General features: G+C 43.8%; 1 protein-coding gene across 6 annotated transcripts in view, besides 2 other annotated features; it reads left to right on the top strand.

Annotated features, from left to right (window-relative positions):
• MSN (moesin) overlaps window positions 1–9,824 on the top strand; it is a 153,555-nt gene extending 143,731 nt beyond the window's left edge. For all 6 annotated transcript variants that reach the window (NM_001440778.1, XM_011530959.1, XM_047442130.1 and 3 more), the window contains 7 exons: window positions 1,077–1,173; window positions 3,160–3,323; window positions 4,688–4,818; window positions 5,071–5,231; window positions 6,418–6,510; window positions 6,863–7,087; window positions 7,622–9,824. In NM_001440778.1, coding sequence (NP_001427707.1) covers window positions 1,077–1,173; window positions 3,160–3,323; window positions 4,688–4,818; window positions 5,071–5,231; window positions 6,418–6,510; window positions 6,863–7,087; window positions 7,622–7,786 — 1,036 coding nt within the window. In that variant the 3' untranslated portion in view covers window positions 7,787–9,824. The remainder of the gene's footprint in view (window positions 1–1,076; window positions 1,174–3,159; window positions 3,324–4,687; window positions 4,819–5,070; window positions 5,232–6,417; window positions 6,511–6,862; window positions 7,088–7,621) is intronic.
• Window positions 18,964–19,023: an enhancer, noted in NCBI's record as "active region_29717". NCBI's record gives its function as "activates an Ori minimal core promoter by ATAC-STARR-seq in GM12878 lymphoblastoid cells {active_cell/tissue: GM12878}" and the evidence as "EXISTENCE:reporter gene assay evidence [ECO:0000049][PMID:35858748]".
• Window positions 20,288–20,486: a silencer, noted in NCBI's record as "fragment chrX:64972237-64972435 (GRCh37/hg19 assembly coordinates)". NCBI's record gives its function as "represses an EF-1alpha promoter that drives an FKBP-Casp9 reporter gene in an ReSE screen in K562 erythroleukemia cells {active_cell/tissue: K562}" and the evidence as "EXISTENCE:reporter gene assay evidence [ECO:0000049][PMID:32094911]".

Raw genomic sequence — 20,486 nt, forward strand, 5'->3', positions numbered from 1 at the left:
AGCCCAGATGATTTCACAACTTCCCTTAGTCAATACTAAATCCTGTATTGACTAGACTCACACTGTCAACTATGGTAGCCACCAGCCACATGGGGCTATTGAACACTTGAAATGTGGCTACTTTGAATTGAGATGTGCTGCTGTAAGTGTAAACTACACACTGGACTTTGAAGACTTAGTGTGAAAAACAGAACGTAAAATGTCTTAATATTTTAAAAAATATTTATTTACATGTTTAAATGATAATATTTTAGATATATTGGGTTAACTAAACTTACTATAATTTTATTACATCCATTTCTTTTTACTTATTTTCATGTGGCTACTAGAAAACTTAAAATTATATATGTGACAGTCATTATGTTTTTATTGGATCGTGCAGGCCTAGACTATCTTATCAGCATTTGTAATTAGTCTCCTGTGATGGTTAAGTGGCTTTTGGCCTATAATCCTCTCACTGTAGCCTTATCCCACTTGCTTATATTTTTCACTTGGTGTGCTCTTGGTGAGGATGGAGAGCAATAAATTATTGTTCCATATAACTCCTGAATCTTGGAGTTCATTATTTACTTTCTCTCAAACTTTTGTAAGCTTGGATAGAAGAGACTCAGTTAAATAGGGCTGGGGATTCCCTTGAGGAACTGTTACAAGTTCCATGCCTCAAACAAATACATAACAAAACAAACTTGAGACAAGGAATCATATGTTAGTTGTACTATCAGGAGATCTTTAGTGAACTCTCAATGCTGGCAGCTGACCTGGTGGCGTGTGATGACACTGGCTGAGCTGTCACTGAGTCTACCTCCTCCAGAGAGAAGTGTTTGTTTGGCCAGGCTCAGTGGCTCACGCCTGTAATCCCAGCACTTTGGGAGGCTGAGGAGGGAAGATTGCTCAAGCCCAAGAGTTCAAGACCAACCTGGGTAACATAGTGAGACCTCGTCTCTATTTATTTTAAAAAAAAAAAAAGAGAGAGAGAGACATAGAAGCTTGGAGGTGACAGTGAGGGCAAGCCCCCAGTTCTCTACACCCTTCTTGTCTTGCCCTTGTCCTGATGTTATTGGTTTCTATTTCTACAGACTAACTCCCAAGATAGGCTTCCCCTGGAGTGAAATCAGGAACATCTCTTTCAATGATAAGAAATTTGTCATCAAGCCCATTGACAAAAAAGCCCCGGTGAGTGATTCCTCCCTCTGACCAAGACAGGTACTTGCCAAGGCCTGCATAATGAGCAATCATGCTATTCTATTTTTCTCTTCCTTTTCTGATGTGTTTGTGTGTACGTGTGTGCGCGCATGTGCACGAACAGGAAGCACAAATAGAGATTGGGAATGGAGGGGGATGTTGATGCCAAGAAATGGCCAGCAGACATCCTGTACCTGGTTCTACTCTGCTACCTGTCTCTCTCACTGTGGATGTGGGAGAGCCACAGGCAGTGTTAAGAACTGCTTCTTAGCCATTGCCTCTGCTGCCCTGAGGTTCTGGGGTGGAAACCGAATGCATCTCATATTTCCAAGCCCCTGGGTCCCAGAAAGTGGACACTGTTCACATATTTGATTCCTTCCTTCCTTCCTCTCTCTCTCTCTCTCTTTCTTTTTTTTGATGGAGTCTCGCTCTGTTGCCCAGGCTGGAGTGCAGTGGTGCAATCTTGGCTCACTACAACCTCAGCCTCCCGAGTAGCTGGGATTACAGGCGCATGCCACCATGCCTGGCTAATTTTTGTAGTTTTAGTAGAGACAGGGCTTCAACATGTTGGCCGGGCTGGTCTTGAACTCCTGACCTCAGGTGATTTGCCTGCCTTGGCCTCCCAAAGTGCTGGGATTATAGGCGTGAGCCACCATGCCCAGCCCTTGACTTCTTTTTTTTTTATTGTGGAGAAAGGGCTGTGGCCAAAGTCCAAATCTGAAGATGATCCTACAGACTTCTTGGTAGAACTTTACTGCTGCCCTCTCAGACTTTTCTCCAGAGCAATCCAAGACCAAAAAAGTGCTTTAAGTTCATTCATTTCTCTAACACACTCGCCATGCTTCTTACCCACTCAGTAGCCTGCAGCTGACAAGACCAGACAGCTGGTGATTGTGGGTAGGTTAGGAAACTGAGCTGAGTGTCCCCTTTTCTGGGATACTGCATGTCCAACAAGGCCCAGTGACAATGCTGAGCCTGACCCTTTTCATGAAGGCTCAGTGATTCTTCTCCAGCCATGAGGTGCCTGAACTTCCCCTGCTAGGGACTTTACACATGTTGTCTCCTTAAACCCTCAGCAACATGGTCAGGTAGGTACTAAGTAGCATACTAATTTTATGGCTGACAAAACTGAGGTTAGAGAGATGGAGTGATTTGCCCAAGATCACACAGCTAAAAATGGTAGAGCTGGGATTTATACCTGCACCCCAAGCTATATGAGACAGTAGCAGTGTGTGGTCAGTGGCAGAGGAGATGGTGGTGCCCATCAGCTGGTGACTTCGGTCCAGTGGTATTTGTAGTAACAAACTCAAACTCACTGGATTTTCTTGTGTGTTTTCTTTTATTGCTGCTGTGCTCAACTATTATCAGAAAAAGTTAAGTAACAAAGCCAGCTGAGATCAAGGGCTCATTTTAAAAACAACAACCAGGACAAGCAGTGATCAGGAGATTTATGTATTCATGTATGTATTTACAGCCTGCCTTGTTCCAAAAAGGATTTAAGGGGCTGGGTCTAGGATTTGCTTTTAGGAGATTGTAGAAACAGTCCAGCCACCCATACTGCACCCACCAGGGTATTATTCAGGGGTCATTTGGCTTCCAAAAGAGGTCACCTGAGACCTAGCATGTTCCCTAATTAGCAGAGAAAGTTTGAATCCTTCAACTTGATTAAGAGTAATTTAGGATGCTTTCACAAGCAAAGATTGAAAGAAATTGTGGTTTCATAAGCAAAGATTGAAAGAAATTATGGGAAGAACATGGGTTTCAGAGTCAAGAAACCTGGGTTTCTAGTCTTGGGTCTGTCTACTGTCTAACCCTGGGCAAGTCACTTTACCACTCTGATAATTAGTCTTCCCATCTGTAGTGCAGGAGGTCAGATTAAATATTCTTTCCAGTGCTTTTGGATTTAGCTTTTCAGAAGGCAGAAGATCACCTTCACCTGTCCCTCCAAATTCTTTCTGATTGCTGATTTCCCACCAGGACTTCGTCTTCTATGCTCCCCGGCTGCGGATTAACAAGCGGATCTTGGCCTTGTGCATGGGGAACCATGAACTATACATGCGCCGTCGCAAGCCTGATACCATTGAGGTGCAGCAGATGAAGGCACAGGCCCGGGAGGAGAAGCACCAGAAGCAGATGGAGCGGTAGGTGCTGCACACTGATGTGGGGGGCCAGGGCTGGGGCAAGGAAGCTTCTCAAAGGTGCCCTGCATGCTAAGTCAGGACATGAGGCCAACCTAGGACTTCATAGATGAGAGGTTAGACACCAATATTCACATTTATTCAGAAAAAATCTACCAAGTTTGAGGGGCAGTTTTTACAGAGCTGGATCTAGCAGGAAACTGCCCTGTAGGACCTCACAGTCTACTCAGTCTAGTAGCAGAGAGAGGGAAAACAATATATACATAACTCAAGGTACAAAGGCCATGTCATTCATTCACTTAATAAATATTTATTGAGCAATGAATAAGAAAAGACCAAAAATCTCTGCTTTTGTGAAGCTAGCATTCTAGTGGGGAGGAGACGAACATAATAAATAAGCAAATTATGTGGTACATAAGATGGTTAAGAAGTGCTATGGAGACAAAAACATAGAAGAGGGATGGGGAGAAGGGTAAGCCAAGTATTCTGAGGGCCCAGATGGAGAATACCTAGCCAAGGGAGATAAGAAGGTTCCTGGAAGAGGTGCTAGGGCAAGAAAAAGCAAAAGCAAATACTTATTCCAGATTTGTAACAGACTCTGGGAAAAAGAAGCCTAGAGCTGGGCTTTAGGGCAGGCAGTGTTAGACCTGAGGACTGATGCACTAGCCGTAGAGATTACTAGACTTGAAGCACTTCATCCCAGCACAGAGCCAAAACTTGTCTCCCTAACAAGGTGGATAGGGCAGGTCTTATTGGACCATTTTCAAGATAGGGGAACAAGAGCAAAGCAGTGACATAGCTAAGGTCACCCAGTGGGTTGGTGGGAGAGCTAGGATTCCTGACTCAGGGGTACATTGACAGGGCCCCGTGTACACTGGCCTATGTGGGGCTATGATATGAGGACAAGGGTATAGAGGTAAGGGAGGGTGGCCCAAACTCACAATCCCTAAGTGTGTTGGGAAGGTTGGGTTGAGAGACCCAGAGGCAGCAAGCCTTGGAATTCCCCAGGCTTTTTTTTTTTTTTTTAGATGGAGTCTTGCTCTTTTGCCCACGCTGGAGTGCAGTGGCGCAATCTCAGCTCACTGCAACCTCCGCCTCCTGTCTTCAAGCAATTCTCCTGCCTCAGCCTCCTGAGTAGCTAGGACTACAGGCGCATGCCACTATGCCCAGCCAATTTTTTTTGTATTTTTAGTAGAGACGGGGTTTCACTGTGTTAGCCAGGATGGTCTCGATCTCCTGACCTCGTGATCTGCCCACCTCGGCCTCCCAAAGTGCTGGGATTACAGGTGTGAGCCACCGCGCCTGGCCTCCCCAGGCTTTTGTGGAGCGTTGTTATCCTGTTCTATCCATTTTATCTCCTTCCCTAGTGCTATGCTGGAAAATGAGAAGAAGAAGCGTGAAATGGCAGAGAAGGAGAAAGAGAAGATTGAACGGGAGAAGGAGGAGCTGATGGAGAGGCTGAAGCAGATCGAGGAACAGACTAAGAAGGCTCAGCAAGGTGAGGCTTGGAGTCACCTTGGAGATTGGATTTTTCCAGGCCTAACTCTGAGCTGGAGAACCTTCTGCCTGAGCTGTAGACTCAGACAATGTAGTTCAGGTGTGGCTACAGACTAGAAGAAGAATGGGCAAGAAGAGAGCTCAGAACTTTCTGCCAGCTTTGTCTTGGGGTGGATCATTTCCAGGAACGAAGCTATTGTGTCGTCTTTATCTCTGTGCTCTTCACTGCCTTCTCCCCTCCTTTTCTGCTCAGAACTGGAAGAACAGACCCGTAGGGCTCTGGAACTTGAGCAGGAACGGAAGCGTGCCCAGAGCGAGGCTGAAAAGCTGGCCAAGGAGCGTCAAGAAGCTGAAGAGGCCAAGGAGGCCTTGCTGCAGGCCTCCCGGGACCAGAAAAAGACTCAGGAACAGCTGGTAAAGCTGTAGGGTGGGCTGGGATTATGGGAACTGAACTTTCTTCCTTGTCTGCCTACTTACTTATAGCTACTTTTGCTTACATGCTGGCTTTTTAGAGCAGGCTACCACTCCATGGGCCTCCAGCAAATAACTAGTTCAGAAGCAAGCTGAGAAGTCACTAGTGTGGCCCAGAAATTTTTGCAGTCTTCCCTAACCCTTAGTTTCTGTTCACTTTCTTAACTCTTGGGTATCTGAGCTGATTGACCTGGCAAAGGAAAGGGAAGGAGAAAAGAACAAAAGGGACTCATATTTGAGCTCCTGCTGTATGTTGCTGTGTTGGGAATATTTCCCTTTTCCTTACTTATTTCTTCTTCCCAGTAACCCTATGGGATTAACCTCATATGAGATAATATCCCAGATAAGGAAATTAGAGCTCAGGGAAGAGATTCACCAAAGATCACACAATTGTAGCTAAATAAGGATTAGAACCCACCCATTTCTGCCTCTGTTTGAAAGCTTTGCTCCCTGAAATCACATGCAAAACTATGTGTCTATGCATTTTTGGGGCATTTGGCATCCATACTTTCATCACAGTTTCCAAGGGTTCTGTGACTCAGAAGTTAAGAACCTGTGGTCCAAACTCCTTGACATATACTCTTCCTTTGTACTGTTGGAGGTGGGAATAGAGGGAACCAAGACCTGTCTCTCATGAGGAAGCTGTCATGGGAGATTTACCCAAGGTGTGCATAAGCTTTTTTCCTTGTTCAGATAGCTTTGTGACACTTGAGTGTCTTTCCTGTACTTGTCCTGGGAAGACTCTTAGTCGAATCCTGAGCATTCTAGGATATCAGGAAAGGATCTGCCACTTCAGGAAGTGACCCAATGATGGCCAAAGCTTTACTGAGGCCCCCAGCTGCATACTTGCCAAGAGGGGCAGGGGGAGAGATAATGAGGAAGGGACAGAGATGGCATATTGTTTGTCTTCAAGAGGCCTACAGTCTAGGTGGGGGAGCTCTGACTTAAAAGGAAGTGGTGGTCAGGGAAGATGGGACTGGAATGAAGTAGTCTGGTAAAAGAGTCTCTGAGGCAGCAAGCAAGTGGAGCAGTAGGTCCCTTACTAGTCCCCCAGGGGACTTGGGTTGAAGACACCTGGGTCCTGAGGACCAGAAGGCCCAGCTCTCACAGGCTTCCAATTTATCCGTAGGCCTTGGAAATGGCAGAGCTGACAGCTCGAATCTCCCAGCTGGAGATGGCCCGACAGAAGAAGGAGAGTGAGGCTGTGGAGTGGCAGCAGAAGGTAAGACACAGGGCCTAAAGCAAAGCATTGAAGGAATGGGTGCCATATGCATAGGTAACAGCTCCTTAGATTCCTTATGTTTTGGCTCCCTCCCTCTTTCATACTTCCCACAGCAGGCAGCATGGGAGAAGGCACTCATGGTTTCGTCAAATACTTACTGGAGTTCTCTAATACCTCTAGGAAGTTGGTACAATTGCTCTTGTTTTATGGATGAAGAAACTAAGGATCAGGCAGATGAAGTGCCTTGTCCTACCTGGTGCCTGCCTCTTGCCAGACCGTTCTAGGCATATACAGGATGCCACAGTTTAACTGGTCTCACTGACAGTCTTTCTCTCCTTCTGTCACTGGACAGGCCCAGATGGTACAGGAAGACTTGGAGAAGACCCGTGCTGAGCTGAAGACTGCCATGAGTACACCTCATGTGGCAGAGCCTGCTGAGAATGAGCAGGATGAGCAGGATGAGAATGGGGCAGAGGCTAGTGCTGACCTACGGGCTGATGCTATGGCCAAGGACCGCAGTGAGGAGGAACGTACCACTGAGGCAGAGAAGAATGAGCGTGTGCAGAAGCACCTGAAGGTATACAAGTAGGGCCAAGGGGCAAGGAAACTATATGCATTGATTTAGTAGCCCATGGCATTCCCTAGACCATCATGGGGGATAGGTATAAGATCCTGTCCCAGTGTTGTATGGGAGCCCAAGCCGTTCTTAAGTGACAGCTTTAAGGATAGGCACCTCTCACTTATTAATCAGACCTTGGGCTATCTCTTCCCTTTTTGAGATTTTCTCTCTGCCCCACCTCCCACTCACTCCATTCACCTCTTACATTAAGAAAATATCTAGCTGACAAAATTCCCACCTGAATCTTTTGTATGTTGTTCTACTCTTAAAGGATACCCATTATCAACTGGTCCCCTAAGTTTATTTATTTTTTTTTAATATTCTTGCCCCACTGCAGTTCTAACAGAGTTGGAAATGACTCTCAATATTTATATATAGAGAGAAAGGGTGAGGAAGAAAGAAGGAAACAGAAGAGAAGGGAAGTCTGGTCAAATAACAGGAGGTAAAATGAGAGAAAGCCATTGACCTCTGTGTTCCCATACATCCTCACAGGCCCTCACTTCGGAGCTGGCCAATGCCAGAGATGAGTCCAAGAAGACTGCCAATGACATGATCCATGCTGAGAACATGCGACTGGGCCGAGACAAATACAAGACCCTGCGCCAGATCCGGCAGGGCAACACCAAGCAGCGCATTGACGAATTTGAGTCTATGTAATGGGCACCCAGCCTCTAGGGACCCCTCCTCCCTTTTTCCTTGTCCCCACACTCCTACACCTAACTCACCTAACTCATACTGTGCTGGAGCCACTAACTAGAGCAGCCCTGGAGTCATGCCAAGCATTTAATGTAGCCATGGGACCAAACCTAGCCCCTTAGCCCCCACCCACTTCCCTGGGCAAATGAATGGCTCACTATGGTGCCAATGGAACCTCCTTTCTCTTCTCTGTTCCATTGAATCTGTATGGCTAGAATATCCTACTTCTCCAGCCTAGAGGTACTTTCCACTTGATTTTGCAAATGCCCTTACACTTACTGTTGTCCTATGGGAGTCAAGTGTGGAGTAGGTTGGAAGCTAGCTCCCCTCCTCTCCCCTACCACTGTCTTCTTCAGGGTCCTGAGATTTACACGGTTGGAGTGTTATGCGGTCTAGGGAATGAGACAGGACCTAGGATATCTTCTCCAGGATGTCAACTGACCTAAAATTTGCCCTCCCATCCCGTTTAGAGTTATTTAGGCTTTGTAACGATTGGGGGATAAAAAGATGTTCAGTCATTTTTGTTTCTACCTCCCAGATCGGATCTGTTGCAAACTCAGCCTCAATAAGCCTTGTCGTTGACTTTAGGGACTCAATTTCTCCCCAGGGTGGATGGGGGAAATGGTGCCTTCAAGACCTTCACCAAACATACTAGAAGGGCATTGGCCATTCTATTGTGGCAAGGCTGAGTAGAAGATCCTACCCCAATTCCTTGTAGGAGTATAGGCCGGTCTAAAGTGAGCTCTATGGGCAGATCTACCCCTTACTTATTATTCCAGATCTGCAGTCACTTCGTGGGATCTGCCCCTCCCTGCTTCAATACCCAAATCCTCTCCAGCTATAACAGTAGGGATGAGTACCCAAAAGCTCAGCCAGCCCCATCAGGACTCTTGTGAAAAGAGAGGATATGTTCACACCTAGCGTCAGTATTTTCCCTGCTAGGGGTTTTAGGTCTCTTCCCCTCTCAGAGCTACTTGGGCCATAGCTCCTGCTCCACAGCCATCCCAGCCTTGGCATCTAGAGCTTGATGCCAGTAGGCTCAACTAGGGAGTGAGTGCAAAAAGCTGAGTATGGTGAGAGAAGCCTGTGCCCTGATCCAAGTTTACTCAACCCTCTCAGGTGACCAAAATCCCCTTCTCATCACTCCCCTCCAAAGAGGTGACTGGGCCCTGCCTCTGTTTGACAAACCTCTAACCCAGGTCTTGACACCAGCTGTTCTGTCCCTTGGAGCTGTAAACCAGAGAGCTGCTGGGGATTCTGGCCTAGTCCCTTCCACACCCCCACCCCTTGCTCTCAACCCAGGAGCATCCACCTCCTTCTCTGTCTCATGTGTGCTCTTCTTCTTTCTACAGTATTATGTACTCTACTGATATCTAAATATTGATTTCTGCCTTCCTTGCTAATGCACCATTAGAAGATATTAGTCTTGGGGCAGGATGATTTTGGCCTCATTACTTTACCACCCCCACACCTGGAAAGCATATACTATATTACAAAATGACATTTTGCCAAAATTATTAATATAAGAAGCTTTCAGTATTAGTGATGTCATCTGTCACTATAGGTCATACAATCCATTCTTAAAGTACTTGTTATTTGTTTTTATTATTACTGTTTGTCTTCTCCCCAGGGTTCAGTCCTCAAGGGGCCATCCTGTCCCACCATGCAGTGCCCCTAGCTTAGAGCCTCCCTCAATTCCCCCTGGCCACCACCCCCCACTCTGTGCCTGACCTTGAGGAGTCTTGTGTGCATTGCTGTGAATTAGCTCACTTGGTGATATGTCCTATATTGGCTAAATTGAAACCTGGAATTGTGGGGCAATCTATTAATAGCTGCCTTAAAGTCAGTAACTTACCCTTAGGGAGGCTGGGGGAAAAGGTTAGATTTTGTATTCAGGGGTTTTTTGTGTACTTTTTGGGTTTTTTAAAAATTGTTTTTGGAGGGGTTTATGCTCAATCCATGTTCTATTTCAGTGCCAATAAAATTTAGGAAGACTTCACAGTGACTCAATCGTTCTTTGTGGTATGAGTGGGTAGCTGTAAGATATTTCACTGCAGTTTCTATTTATATATTACCTTCTTATCTTTGGTCTCATTTCATCTATACCTCAGTTCTATGGAGAGGGGTGATATGACTATCCCCATTTTATATAGGAGAGAATGGGCTCAAAAAAGTATAATAACTTCCCAAGGTCACAGGACTGTCTAACTTAATAGTCTGTGCCCTTTCGGTAGTTCCAGGCCAACTTTTCTACTGTGGGTGTGGATCCTGCATTGACCATGTGATGCTCCTGGACTTGCCTGGCATTGGGACCTAAGAGGTACTTATTTGTATCTCTTGATTTCTCTTGGGATGCTCAGGCCCTGTCCTGCCTCTTTGTCAGGAAGGTCTTCAGGCTTTTCCTGCCTCCTACTACCCTCACATATTGTAGTGCCAATAAAGGTCAGGGAAACTACCTTGGGCCCTGTTGCAGAAGGCAGTGGGGAATGGAGTGTGAAGTGAGGATGGAGAGTGTGTGTATGTACAAAAGCTATTGGGTAGTACTTTATAGTTTATAAAACATGTATAAAACATTTTGTAGCCTAGATATGGTTATCCTCATTTTGCAGATGAGGAAACTGAGGCCAGACAAACCTTCTAAACTGTCCTGGACCTGGCACTCTCACTTACCACTTTCCTTCCTGGTAAGCCAACACTTGCAAGGAAAAGTAAGTTATCATATATTTCCTTCCTTCCTTCCTTCCTTCCTTCCTTCCTTCCTTCCTTCCTTCCTTCCTTCCTTCCTTCCTTCCCTCCTTCCCTCCTTCCCTCCTTCCTCTCCCTTCCTTCCTTCCTTCCTTCCTTCCTTCCTTCCTTCCTTCCTTCCTTCCTTCCTTCCTTCCTTCCTTCCTTTCTTTCTCTCTCTCTCTCTGTCTCTCTCTCTCTCTTACTCTTTTTATGGAGTCTCTGTTGCCCACTCTGGAGTGGAGTGGTGCAATCCTGCCTCATTGCAACCTTTAAGCGATTCTCCTCCTGCCTCAGCCTCCGTAGGAGGTGGGACTACAGACACACACCATCATGCCTGGCTAATTTTTGTATTTTTAGTAGAGATGGGGTTTCACCATGTTGGCCAGGCTGGTCTTGAACTCCTGGCCTCAAGTGATCTGCCTGCCTCGGCCTCCCAAAGTGCTGGGATTACAGGTGGGAGCCCATGAGGCCTGGCCCAGTTATCGTATGTTTTGTGAGCTTTAAATCCTTAACAACAACCCTTTGAGGCAGTGGCTCAAAAACTTGTCTGCACATTAGAATCCTTTAAAGATTCCAAAGCCCAGACCATATCTTCAAATCAAATTATAACCTCTAGTATTGGGATCCAGGCACCAGTGTATGTATTTGATGATTCCAGTATGTCCTCCTGGGGGTGGGCAGACATATACTAGGAAGAGGAGACATTTGCACAGCTTCAATTCTAAGGTAGCAGATATAGTTCGAAGTCCCTAGAACATCAGTGTAGGAGGAGGCCTTAGGAGTCTCTGCTAATGATTATCCCAACTGTTGTTGCCTTGGAAAGTGAAGGAGTTTTAGATCCCCTCCAACCACAACCAGAGGATCTCTGTTTTTGGATATTGGGTTGTATGTGTGTAAATGATTTATTTATTTATTTATTTTAAATGGAAAACAGGTAGACTTCTCCCAGGAAGATGGATGTGGCACGCAAGATAATGGCCCTCTAAAGACATCCATGTTCTAATCCATGGGACCTATAAATATGTTACCTTACGTTGCAAAAGGGACTTGGGATGTCATTGGGTTAAGGGTTTTAAGATAGGGAAAGGGTGCTGTATTATCCAGGTGGGCCCAATATAATCACAAGAGTCATTAAAGATGGAAGAGGGTCAGATTCAGAGAGATTTGAATATGCTATGTTGCCGATATTAAAGATGGAGGAAGGGGCCATGAAACAATGAATGCAGGTGGCTTCTATAAAATGGGAGAGTCAAGGAAATGGATTCTCCCCTAGAGCCTCCAGAAGAAATGCAGCTTTGTGGACACCTTAGTTTTAGCTCAGTTTTAGCCCATTTTGGACTTTCATCTTGTTACTGGAAAGGGGTTCGATCCAGACCCCAGGAGAGGGTTCTTGGACCTCTCACAAAAAAGAATTGAGGTGAGTCCATAGAGTAAAGTGAAAGCAAGTTTATCAAGAAAGTAAAATTATGGTTACTCCATAGGCAGAACAGCAGTATGGGCTGCTTGATTGAGTATACTTGTAGTTATTTCTTGATTATATGCTAAACATTATTCATGAGTTTTCTAGGAAAGGGGAGATATTTCCCCAGAACTGAGGGTCTCTCCCCTTTTTAGACTATATAGAGTGACTTCCAAACGTTGCCATGGCATTTGTAAACTGTCATAGTGCTAGTAGGAGTGTCTTTTAGCATGCTAATGAATTATAATTAGTGTATAATAAGCAGTGAGGACTGCTAGAGGTTACTTTCATTGCCATTTTGGTTTTGGTGGATTTTTGCTGGCTTCTTTACTGCATCCTGTTTTATCAGCAGAGTCTTTGTGACCTGTATCTTCTGCTGACCTCCTATCTCATCCTGTGACTAAAAATGCCTAACCTCCTGGGAATGCAGCCCAGTATGTCTCAGCCTTTTTTTTTACCCAGCCCCTATTCTAGATGAAGTAGCTCTGGCTCAAGCATCTCTGACAATCTGACCTCCAGAATTTGTTCTGTTTTAAGCCACTCTAGCATTATTCTCCATTTCCCTATTTCTTGAAATTCCTTATTCTTGAAATGACAATATTATAGAAATGGAGAAGGGAACAAATTAGTGGTTGCCTGCAGTTAAAGAACAAGGCAGGGGATGGAGAGCATGTGAGAAATGGATATGGCTATGAGAGAGCAACAGGAGGGGTCCTTGTGATACCTAGTGTCTTGACTATATCAATGTTAAAATCTTGGTTGTGATATTGAAGGCTAATTTACAAGATGATACCACTGGGAGAACATGAGTAAATTGTACATGGGATCTCTCTGTATAATTTCTTACAACTGTATGTGAATCTACAAAGACCTCAAAAAAATTAATTTAAAAAATAATGGGTAGAGATGCTGGGTATATATCCAAGAGCAATGAGTGCTTATGTCCACCAAAAGACATAGCAATACTATTTGCAATAGCACCAATCTGGAAGCTAGCCAGACTTTCATCAACAGGAGAATGAACAAAACAATTGTATATTCATAAATGGGGTATTACTCAACAATAAAAATGAATGGACTACTGCGATATTGTGAAATATATATATTTGGTCTTCCTCTTATTTCCTGGCATACCACTCCTAAAATCCTTGGGAGCTCCAAAGTGCTGTCTTTTTGTATGCTAATGATTGACTAATAACTTCAGTGTGGGACTGGTCACCAGAAAGACAAAGCATGAATAGAAGGTTGGGACTTTCCTCTAACCTCCAGGGAGGGGAGAGGGGCTTAAGGTCAAGTTGATTGCCAATGGCTAATAGTTTAATCAACCATGCCTACATAATGAAGTCTCCATAAAAATCTATTACGTTGGTGCAAAAGTTACTGCTGTTTTTGCCATTAAAAGTAATGGCAAAAGGTGTGGTGGCGCATGCCTGTAATCCCAGCTACTCTTCGAAACGCTGAGGCACGAGAATCACTTGAGCACAGGAAGTGAAGATTGCAGTGAGTGGAGATGGCTCCTCTGCACTCCAGCGTGAGTGACAGAGCAAGACTCTGTCTCAAAACAAAACAAAACAAAACAAAACAAAACAAAACAAAAACAACCCTCACTCTGGATCCTCCTTGAAGAAGAAGCCAAAATTCCTTAGCCTAGTGGCTCTTCACTATTTGACTTGTCTTATCTTCCACTATCCATCATCATCTATCTCCCCACAGCACTTTGCATTCCAGGCATACTAGACCTGGCATCCCTCAAAATCCCAGACTTTCTCATAATGACGTTCCATTGCAATAATAATTGTAATTAGCATTTATTAAATACTTACTGTTCAGTGTGCTTTACAGGTATTACCACATATCTTCACAGTATCTCTGAGACAAGGGCAGTTATTACAGATAAGGAAACTAAGGTACAGAAAGGATAAGTAACTTGCCCAAAGTCACATAGCTTGGAGTGACAGAGGCAAGATTTAAATGTTTCCTAGAGCTTCAAATTCAGAATAACAAATATATTATTTTTATTCTTATTCCACTTGGCTCATCTTCTTATGCCTCTCTCTCACTTGGTGGCGCCACTATCCACGCCTTTTTCCAGAATAAGAACTTGGATATTTCTCCTTGACAATTTTCTTTCCCTAGCGCGGTCCCAGTGCCCAATCTCCTGCCTTTCATTCTGCAAATAGCTTTTTAATGCCATATCTGCTTCTCTTCTGCTGCTGGGACCGTTGCCTCTAGTGAGTGGCCTCCTCACTAGATCTCCAGTCAACTTTCTATCCTCTGCTGCCAGTAACTTGTCAGAAACTTCTACTCTTCTTTTCTTTGTTCAGTTTCTCCATTCCTACCTGAGTTGGTCTCACATTCTCTGCAAGGCACAAGTGATTTCACCCAGTTCAGTGACTAATTATGGCCTATGTATTAATGACTCCCATGTTTATCTCTCTAGTCCATAACTCTCTCCAAGTTCAATTTGGACAACTAACTGCTCCCTTGAAACCTCTACCTGCATATCTAATACGATTCTTAAAGTTTACTTAGTCAAAGCAGAACGCTTGATTTTCTTCCCAAATCCTTTCCTCCCTCAATCTTCCTCACCTCAGTAAATGATGCCACCATTTGCCCAGTTGCTCAGGCCCCCAAATCAGGCACCATCATTCCTCTTTTCTCACTCCTAGAACCAGTTCATCGGTAGTAAGGCCTGTCCAGTCTACTTTCTTTCTTTATTTTATTTTATTTTATTTTTTCCATATGGACTCTCACTCTGTTGCCCAGGCTGGAGTGCAGTGGCATGATGTCGGCTCACTGCAACCTATGCCTCCTGTCCTCAAGCGATTCTTCCACCTCAGCCTCCCAAGTAGCTGGGACTACAGGCACGCACCACCACTTCTGGCTAATTTTTGTATTTTTAGTAAAGACAGGGTTTCGCCATGTTGACTAGCCTGGTTTTGAACTCCTGACATCAAGGGATGCGCCCACCTTGTCCTCCCAAAGTGCTGGGATTACAGGTGTGAGCCACTGAGCCCGGCCTATCCAGTCTTCTTTCAAATATGACTCCAAACACAACTACTTTTTACTTCCTCCAATTCATCACCTAATCTGAGCCATTATTACCTCTGGTCAGGACAATTGAAATGACTTCCCAACAGGTCTCTCTGCCTCCACTTTTGCTCTCCTACAGTCCATTCTTCACACAGTAGCCAGAGAGACCTTTTACAAGTGTAAATTAGGTTACATCACTCCCTTACTTTAAACCTCCCATGGGTTTTTTTCTTTAATCACACTCAGAATGAAATTCAAATCTGTACTGTTACCTTCCAGGCTCTATGTAATCTGGCCCTTTCTCACCTCTTTTTTCATTTCACCTCTTAGCACCCTTCCCTGGCTTACTATGCTTCAGCCACATTGTCCTTATTTCTTTTCCATTAATATCCCAAGCTCATCCAAGTATCAGGCCTTTAACTGCCCCATTGTCTGGAATGTTCTTGCCAGAGAATTTCCCATGACCGGCTCCTCATCATTCAGGTCCCAGCTCACAGAAGTACCCCTTTATCACCCTATCTGAATTAGTCCCCACTTCCCAACTCACATACACACCTATAATAGCTAACTTATATGGCTTACAATGTGCCAGATACCGTTCTAAGCCCTTTTGCATAAATTAAATCACCCTTACTATGCTCTTACAAGATAAATGCTGTTATTGCACCATATTATAGATGAGGAAGGACACTAAGACACAAAAAAGTTAAACAGCATTCCTAAAGTTACACAGCTAATAAAAAGGCAAACCATGATTTGAATTCATTCTCTATTTCATTATCCTGCTTTATTTTTTCATAACATTTCTCACTAACTGAAATGATCTAATTTATCTATTTCTTATTGTTTATTACCCATCTGTCCATCTAGAATATAACCTTCACAAAGGCAGGGACTTTTTTTGTTCACAGCTGTATTCTCCAACAACTTACCTGGACACAGTAAGTACTCAATGTTTGTTGAATGAGTTAATGGCTCCTCCCTAGGAATGTGCTGCTTTCTCTAGTTGGGATGATCTTCCTCTTTCTTTCTGAATTCCAACATATAATCTTTTTTAAATTTATTTTGTAATTGTTTTTAACTTCTTATTTCCATAGGTTTTTGGGGAACAGGTGGTGTTTGGTTACATGAGTAAGTTCTTTAGTGGTGATTTGTGAGATTTTGGTGTACCCATCTCCCGAACACAGTATATACTGAACCCAATTTGTGGTCCTTTATCCCTCACCCCCTTCCCATTCTTTCCCCGAGTCCCCAAAGTCCCAACATCTAATCTTTTAGGACCAGCTTCAGTCTTGCTTTCCCTCGGAAACCTCCTGTCCATCCTCCCCTCCTCACTAATGTACCATATTGTCTGGTCCTCCCCTGGCTTCAGCTCATGAATGAAATGACACTGAGTGGCTCTCTTCACGTGTGAATCTCAACCTGATTATACAATCCCTCCCAAAAGGGGCAATGTCTTTTTCATCACAAAATCTTCCACTGCCAGACCAAGCTTAGTACATAGGTTCTACATGAACACTTGCTGTATGAATTAGAAACTCAATTTCACTAAAAGCATTACCTTGCTCTTCAGATTATTTATAACCATGTGAAATTGCAGACCTGTCCTGTGGTAGAATTTGCTGTCAAAAGACATTGTTATTTTAACCTCTTGTTTTCTGTCTCCCAGCCAATTCGCCCACCCATAGCTGAAAGTCTTCCAATCCCAGAATAACTTAATTTTTCTCACAGCCCTTGGTTTGGATCTTGTCAGAGGGGTTTAGGAAGTGTCAATTCCACCCACTATTTTTACATATCCATTGACCTCTCCAAGAAAACTTCTAGTTTAGCCTGAGCCCCTTGTCTTGTCTTTCTCTGTTAGTACAATTTTCTTCCTCATCCTGGTTAGGGGTATCTTTGGTGAGTTTTGGGTCTATGTAAATAGAACAACTTGGCAGCAGGGTGGTTCAGCTGCCACTTTTCTGGATAAGTGAAAAACTGTTCAATGGTCTACATTTCTGAGAAGGTAAGGTAAGGGTCTTATTACCAGTGGCAGAATTTAGTCTCACCCAAATAGAAAAGGGCTTGTGGAAAAATATCCAAAATAAAGATAGCTCCATAAACTGCTCCTTGCAAATGCAATATCTTTGCAAAGTAAAACCCTGCCCAAGTACTGTCTGTTAGGGATTTGCTGAGCTGTGTGTTTTTTTTGCAATCAGTGTAGGCCCAAAGGGTCTTTGCTAAAATCCACTCTTGAAACTTGAAAATCCAGAATTATTTCTTCTTCTGAATTATTCCTTCTGATCTTGGAGCCCATGTTTTGTTCCTCTATTCCTCCTTTATTGCTTTCTTTTGCAGTAAGTATTTCCTAATGTAACACTTTAATTTATTTAGTGTTTTCTGCCTTTTTTTTTTTTTTTTTTTTAGTTATTTTGTTAGTGGTTGCTCTAGGGCTTAACATATACGTCTTAACTTGTGAAAATCACCTTCAACTTATACAAACTTAATTCTGGTGAGATAAAGAAACACTTACATGGCTCTATTATCTCCCCCTTTTGTGCTATTATTGTTATGTATATATATATATATATATATATTACATTTATATATGTCACAAATGCAATAATATATTGTTATTACTTTATACAATTTCAAGTCTATTAAAGAAATGGAGAAAAAGAGGAAAGCAAGTATACATTTATAGATTTTGTTATATTTTCTTTCTTTAATATAAATTTGCTCTCATCTACCTCCTTTGGGCTATTACTGTCAAATATATTACATTTCTATATGGTATAGACCCAACAGTATACATATTGCTTTATACAATTGTCTTTTAAATCAGTTAAGGAGAACAGAGAAGAAATATGAATTTACACTGTCTTTTATTCCATAAATAACTTTACTACTGCTCTTTGTTTCTATGTGTGGATTCAAATTGCTGTCTAGAGTCACTTTCTTTCAGCATGAAGAACTTTTCTTAACCCTAGAATTTCTGTTTGGTTATTTTTAAAAATAATTTACACCTCTATATTAATATTCTCCATTTGATAAATCTCGTGGCATCTTTTTACTTTGTTTTTTAATTGTAATTTTTTAATATTGAGATGAAATTCACATATTACAAATTCCACACTTTCAAAATGTATAATTCAGTGGATGTTAGTCTATTCACAAAGTTATAGGCTGCGCCTGGTGGCTCACACCTGTAATCGCAGCACTTTGGGAGGCCAAGATGGGCGGATCACTTGAGGTCAGGAGTTCGAGACCAGCCTGGCCAACATGGTGAAACTTCATCTGTACTAAAAATACAAAAATTAGCTGGGTGTGGTGGCAGGTGCCTGTAATCCCAGCTACTCAGGAGACTGAGACAGGAGAATCACTTGAACCTGGGAGGCAGCGGTTGCAGTGAGCCAAGATTGCACCATTGCACTCCAGCCTGGGTGACAAGAGTAAAATTATGTCAAAAAACAACAACAACAACAGAAAAAAAACAAAGTTATACAAATACCACCACTATCTAATTTCAGGGCATTTTTATCATCCCTAAAAGAAACTTCATATTCATTATCAGTCACTTTCTACTACCCTCCTCTCCTTACCACAAGTTCCTGGTAACTTTGGGGCCCCAGTAAATCAATAAGTTAACAGGAACCAGGGAGGAGCCAGGCTGGCAGAACAGGGACCTAACCCAGTTTGCAGAGCTCACCTCTTTGTGTGAAAAACCACAGTCAGTATCTTGCAACACCAGAAACGGAAAGCATGTGGGTCGCAAGACAGCTAAAAGCAGCATAGTGTTTCCCCTGGGCACCTGGATAGGAAAGACCTGGCAGTTAAAAATTACCCCAACATATTCTTAGCATACAGCACAAATTCACTTGCACATAGCCCCCTCCAGCATGACCTTATAAAACTTTTGTCCATCCCCTGCTTCTTTGCAGGCAGCCTCTTCCCTGCTGTGCTGCCCATTGCTTTCTTGCAACATGTCTTTGTACTTTCTTTAATAAATTCTTTTTCCTTTACCCACAACTGTCTTAGTAAATTCCTTTACTGCCCACAACATCAGCCCCAGCTAGTTGCACCCACAACATTTTGGTGGCCCATATGGGGAGTGTGTGGGACTGATCAGGGAGTGCTCCAAGACTGCTAGAAGAATGCTCGGGAGCTACTCAGGGAGTGCTCAGGAACTGCTTAAGAACGTGTCTCCTAGTTTCTCCCTTTTCTCTTCCCTAACTCCAACCTCTTGGTGGACAGTGTCCAAGCCTGGAGCCAATTGACGATCCCAGCTGAGGCCACTCCCCAGAAGACCAGAAGGTCCTGATAGCACGTCTGACCACTGCCCAATTGGGTGGGAGTTTAGAGTTTTGTTTTTCTTTCCAGTCTTCCTGTGAAAAAATTCCAGTATCTTTCTGGCAATTGATGGTCACTGGCCAGAGCTACTCTCTGGTGGAGTCTGAAGGTCAGGGGGTGAACAGGTTTGTCTGCCTTGTTCGGAAGAGAGGAAAGCTCTCTCCCCAAAGTCCCCAATCCCTACATGTAGCATGATTGGCAGCTAAAGCTCGACTAAAGCTAACCTACACATGTTTTGGGGAACTCAGACCCCCTCTTCCTCATTCTAAATTCTACTGTAAAGACAGCCAAACCTGCTCTGGATGTTGCCAAATCAGATGATTTCAAGTGGCCTCAGGTGAATCTCCCCATTCCCATTCCTTCTCCTGGGCTAGTTCCAGGCTGTGTTCTCCATTCATCCTCATTCCTCCTACCTGGACTAGCCATCCAGCATAAAACCCCAGGGCCATCAGCCACAATGCTGGGAGATCCTTCCAATAGGTAGGATGCCCCTTTGGAAAGTGCATCTCGAAGTCCCTCAGTGGACGTGAGTGGAACCCTTTTCCTCGGCAGGATGCCCTGAGACAAAGTGCAGTTCATGACCGCAGCGGACATTACCCCCAGCAGCTTGTCATTTTCAGTCCCATCATAGGACAAATCTCATCTGTTCCCTCAGACTCACCTCGGGGTTGCTTCCTAAAACACTGGGATTAATTTAACCCTCAGACTCTCAAAAAGAAATGTCTAATTTTCTTGTGTAATACAGCATGGCCCCTATGCAGGAAATCCTCAAATTAGCCTCCTCATTCTTTTATAACTGAGAGCCGAATAAGGAGAACAAAGCTAAGAAAAAAGAAAAACACAGGAACATTAGGCAGTCTCAACTGTTGGCTGTTTTACAAGCCCCCAACCCCCTCCAGGTAGCCCTAAGGACACTCCTACAGGTAACTGCCATCGTGCAAAAGACCAGGCCACTGAAAGGCAAACTGCCTTAATGGGATAAATGTGAAAAAGCCCTGCGTGGCTTGTCCCCTCTGCCACAAGCTCGGCTACTGAAAATGAAACTGCCCTAAGGGTCAAAATGTTCCCCAGAACAGAATCCCAACCCCTAATGGCCTTGAGCTGCAGGTACTC

Source organism: Homo sapiens, chromosome X (genome assembly GCF_000001405.40).
Source record: "Homo sapiens chromosome X, GRCh38.p14 Primary Assembly".
In the NCBI taxonomy this organism is placed as follows: Eukaryota; Metazoa; Chordata; class Mammalia; order Primates; family Hominidae; genus Homo; species Homo sapiens.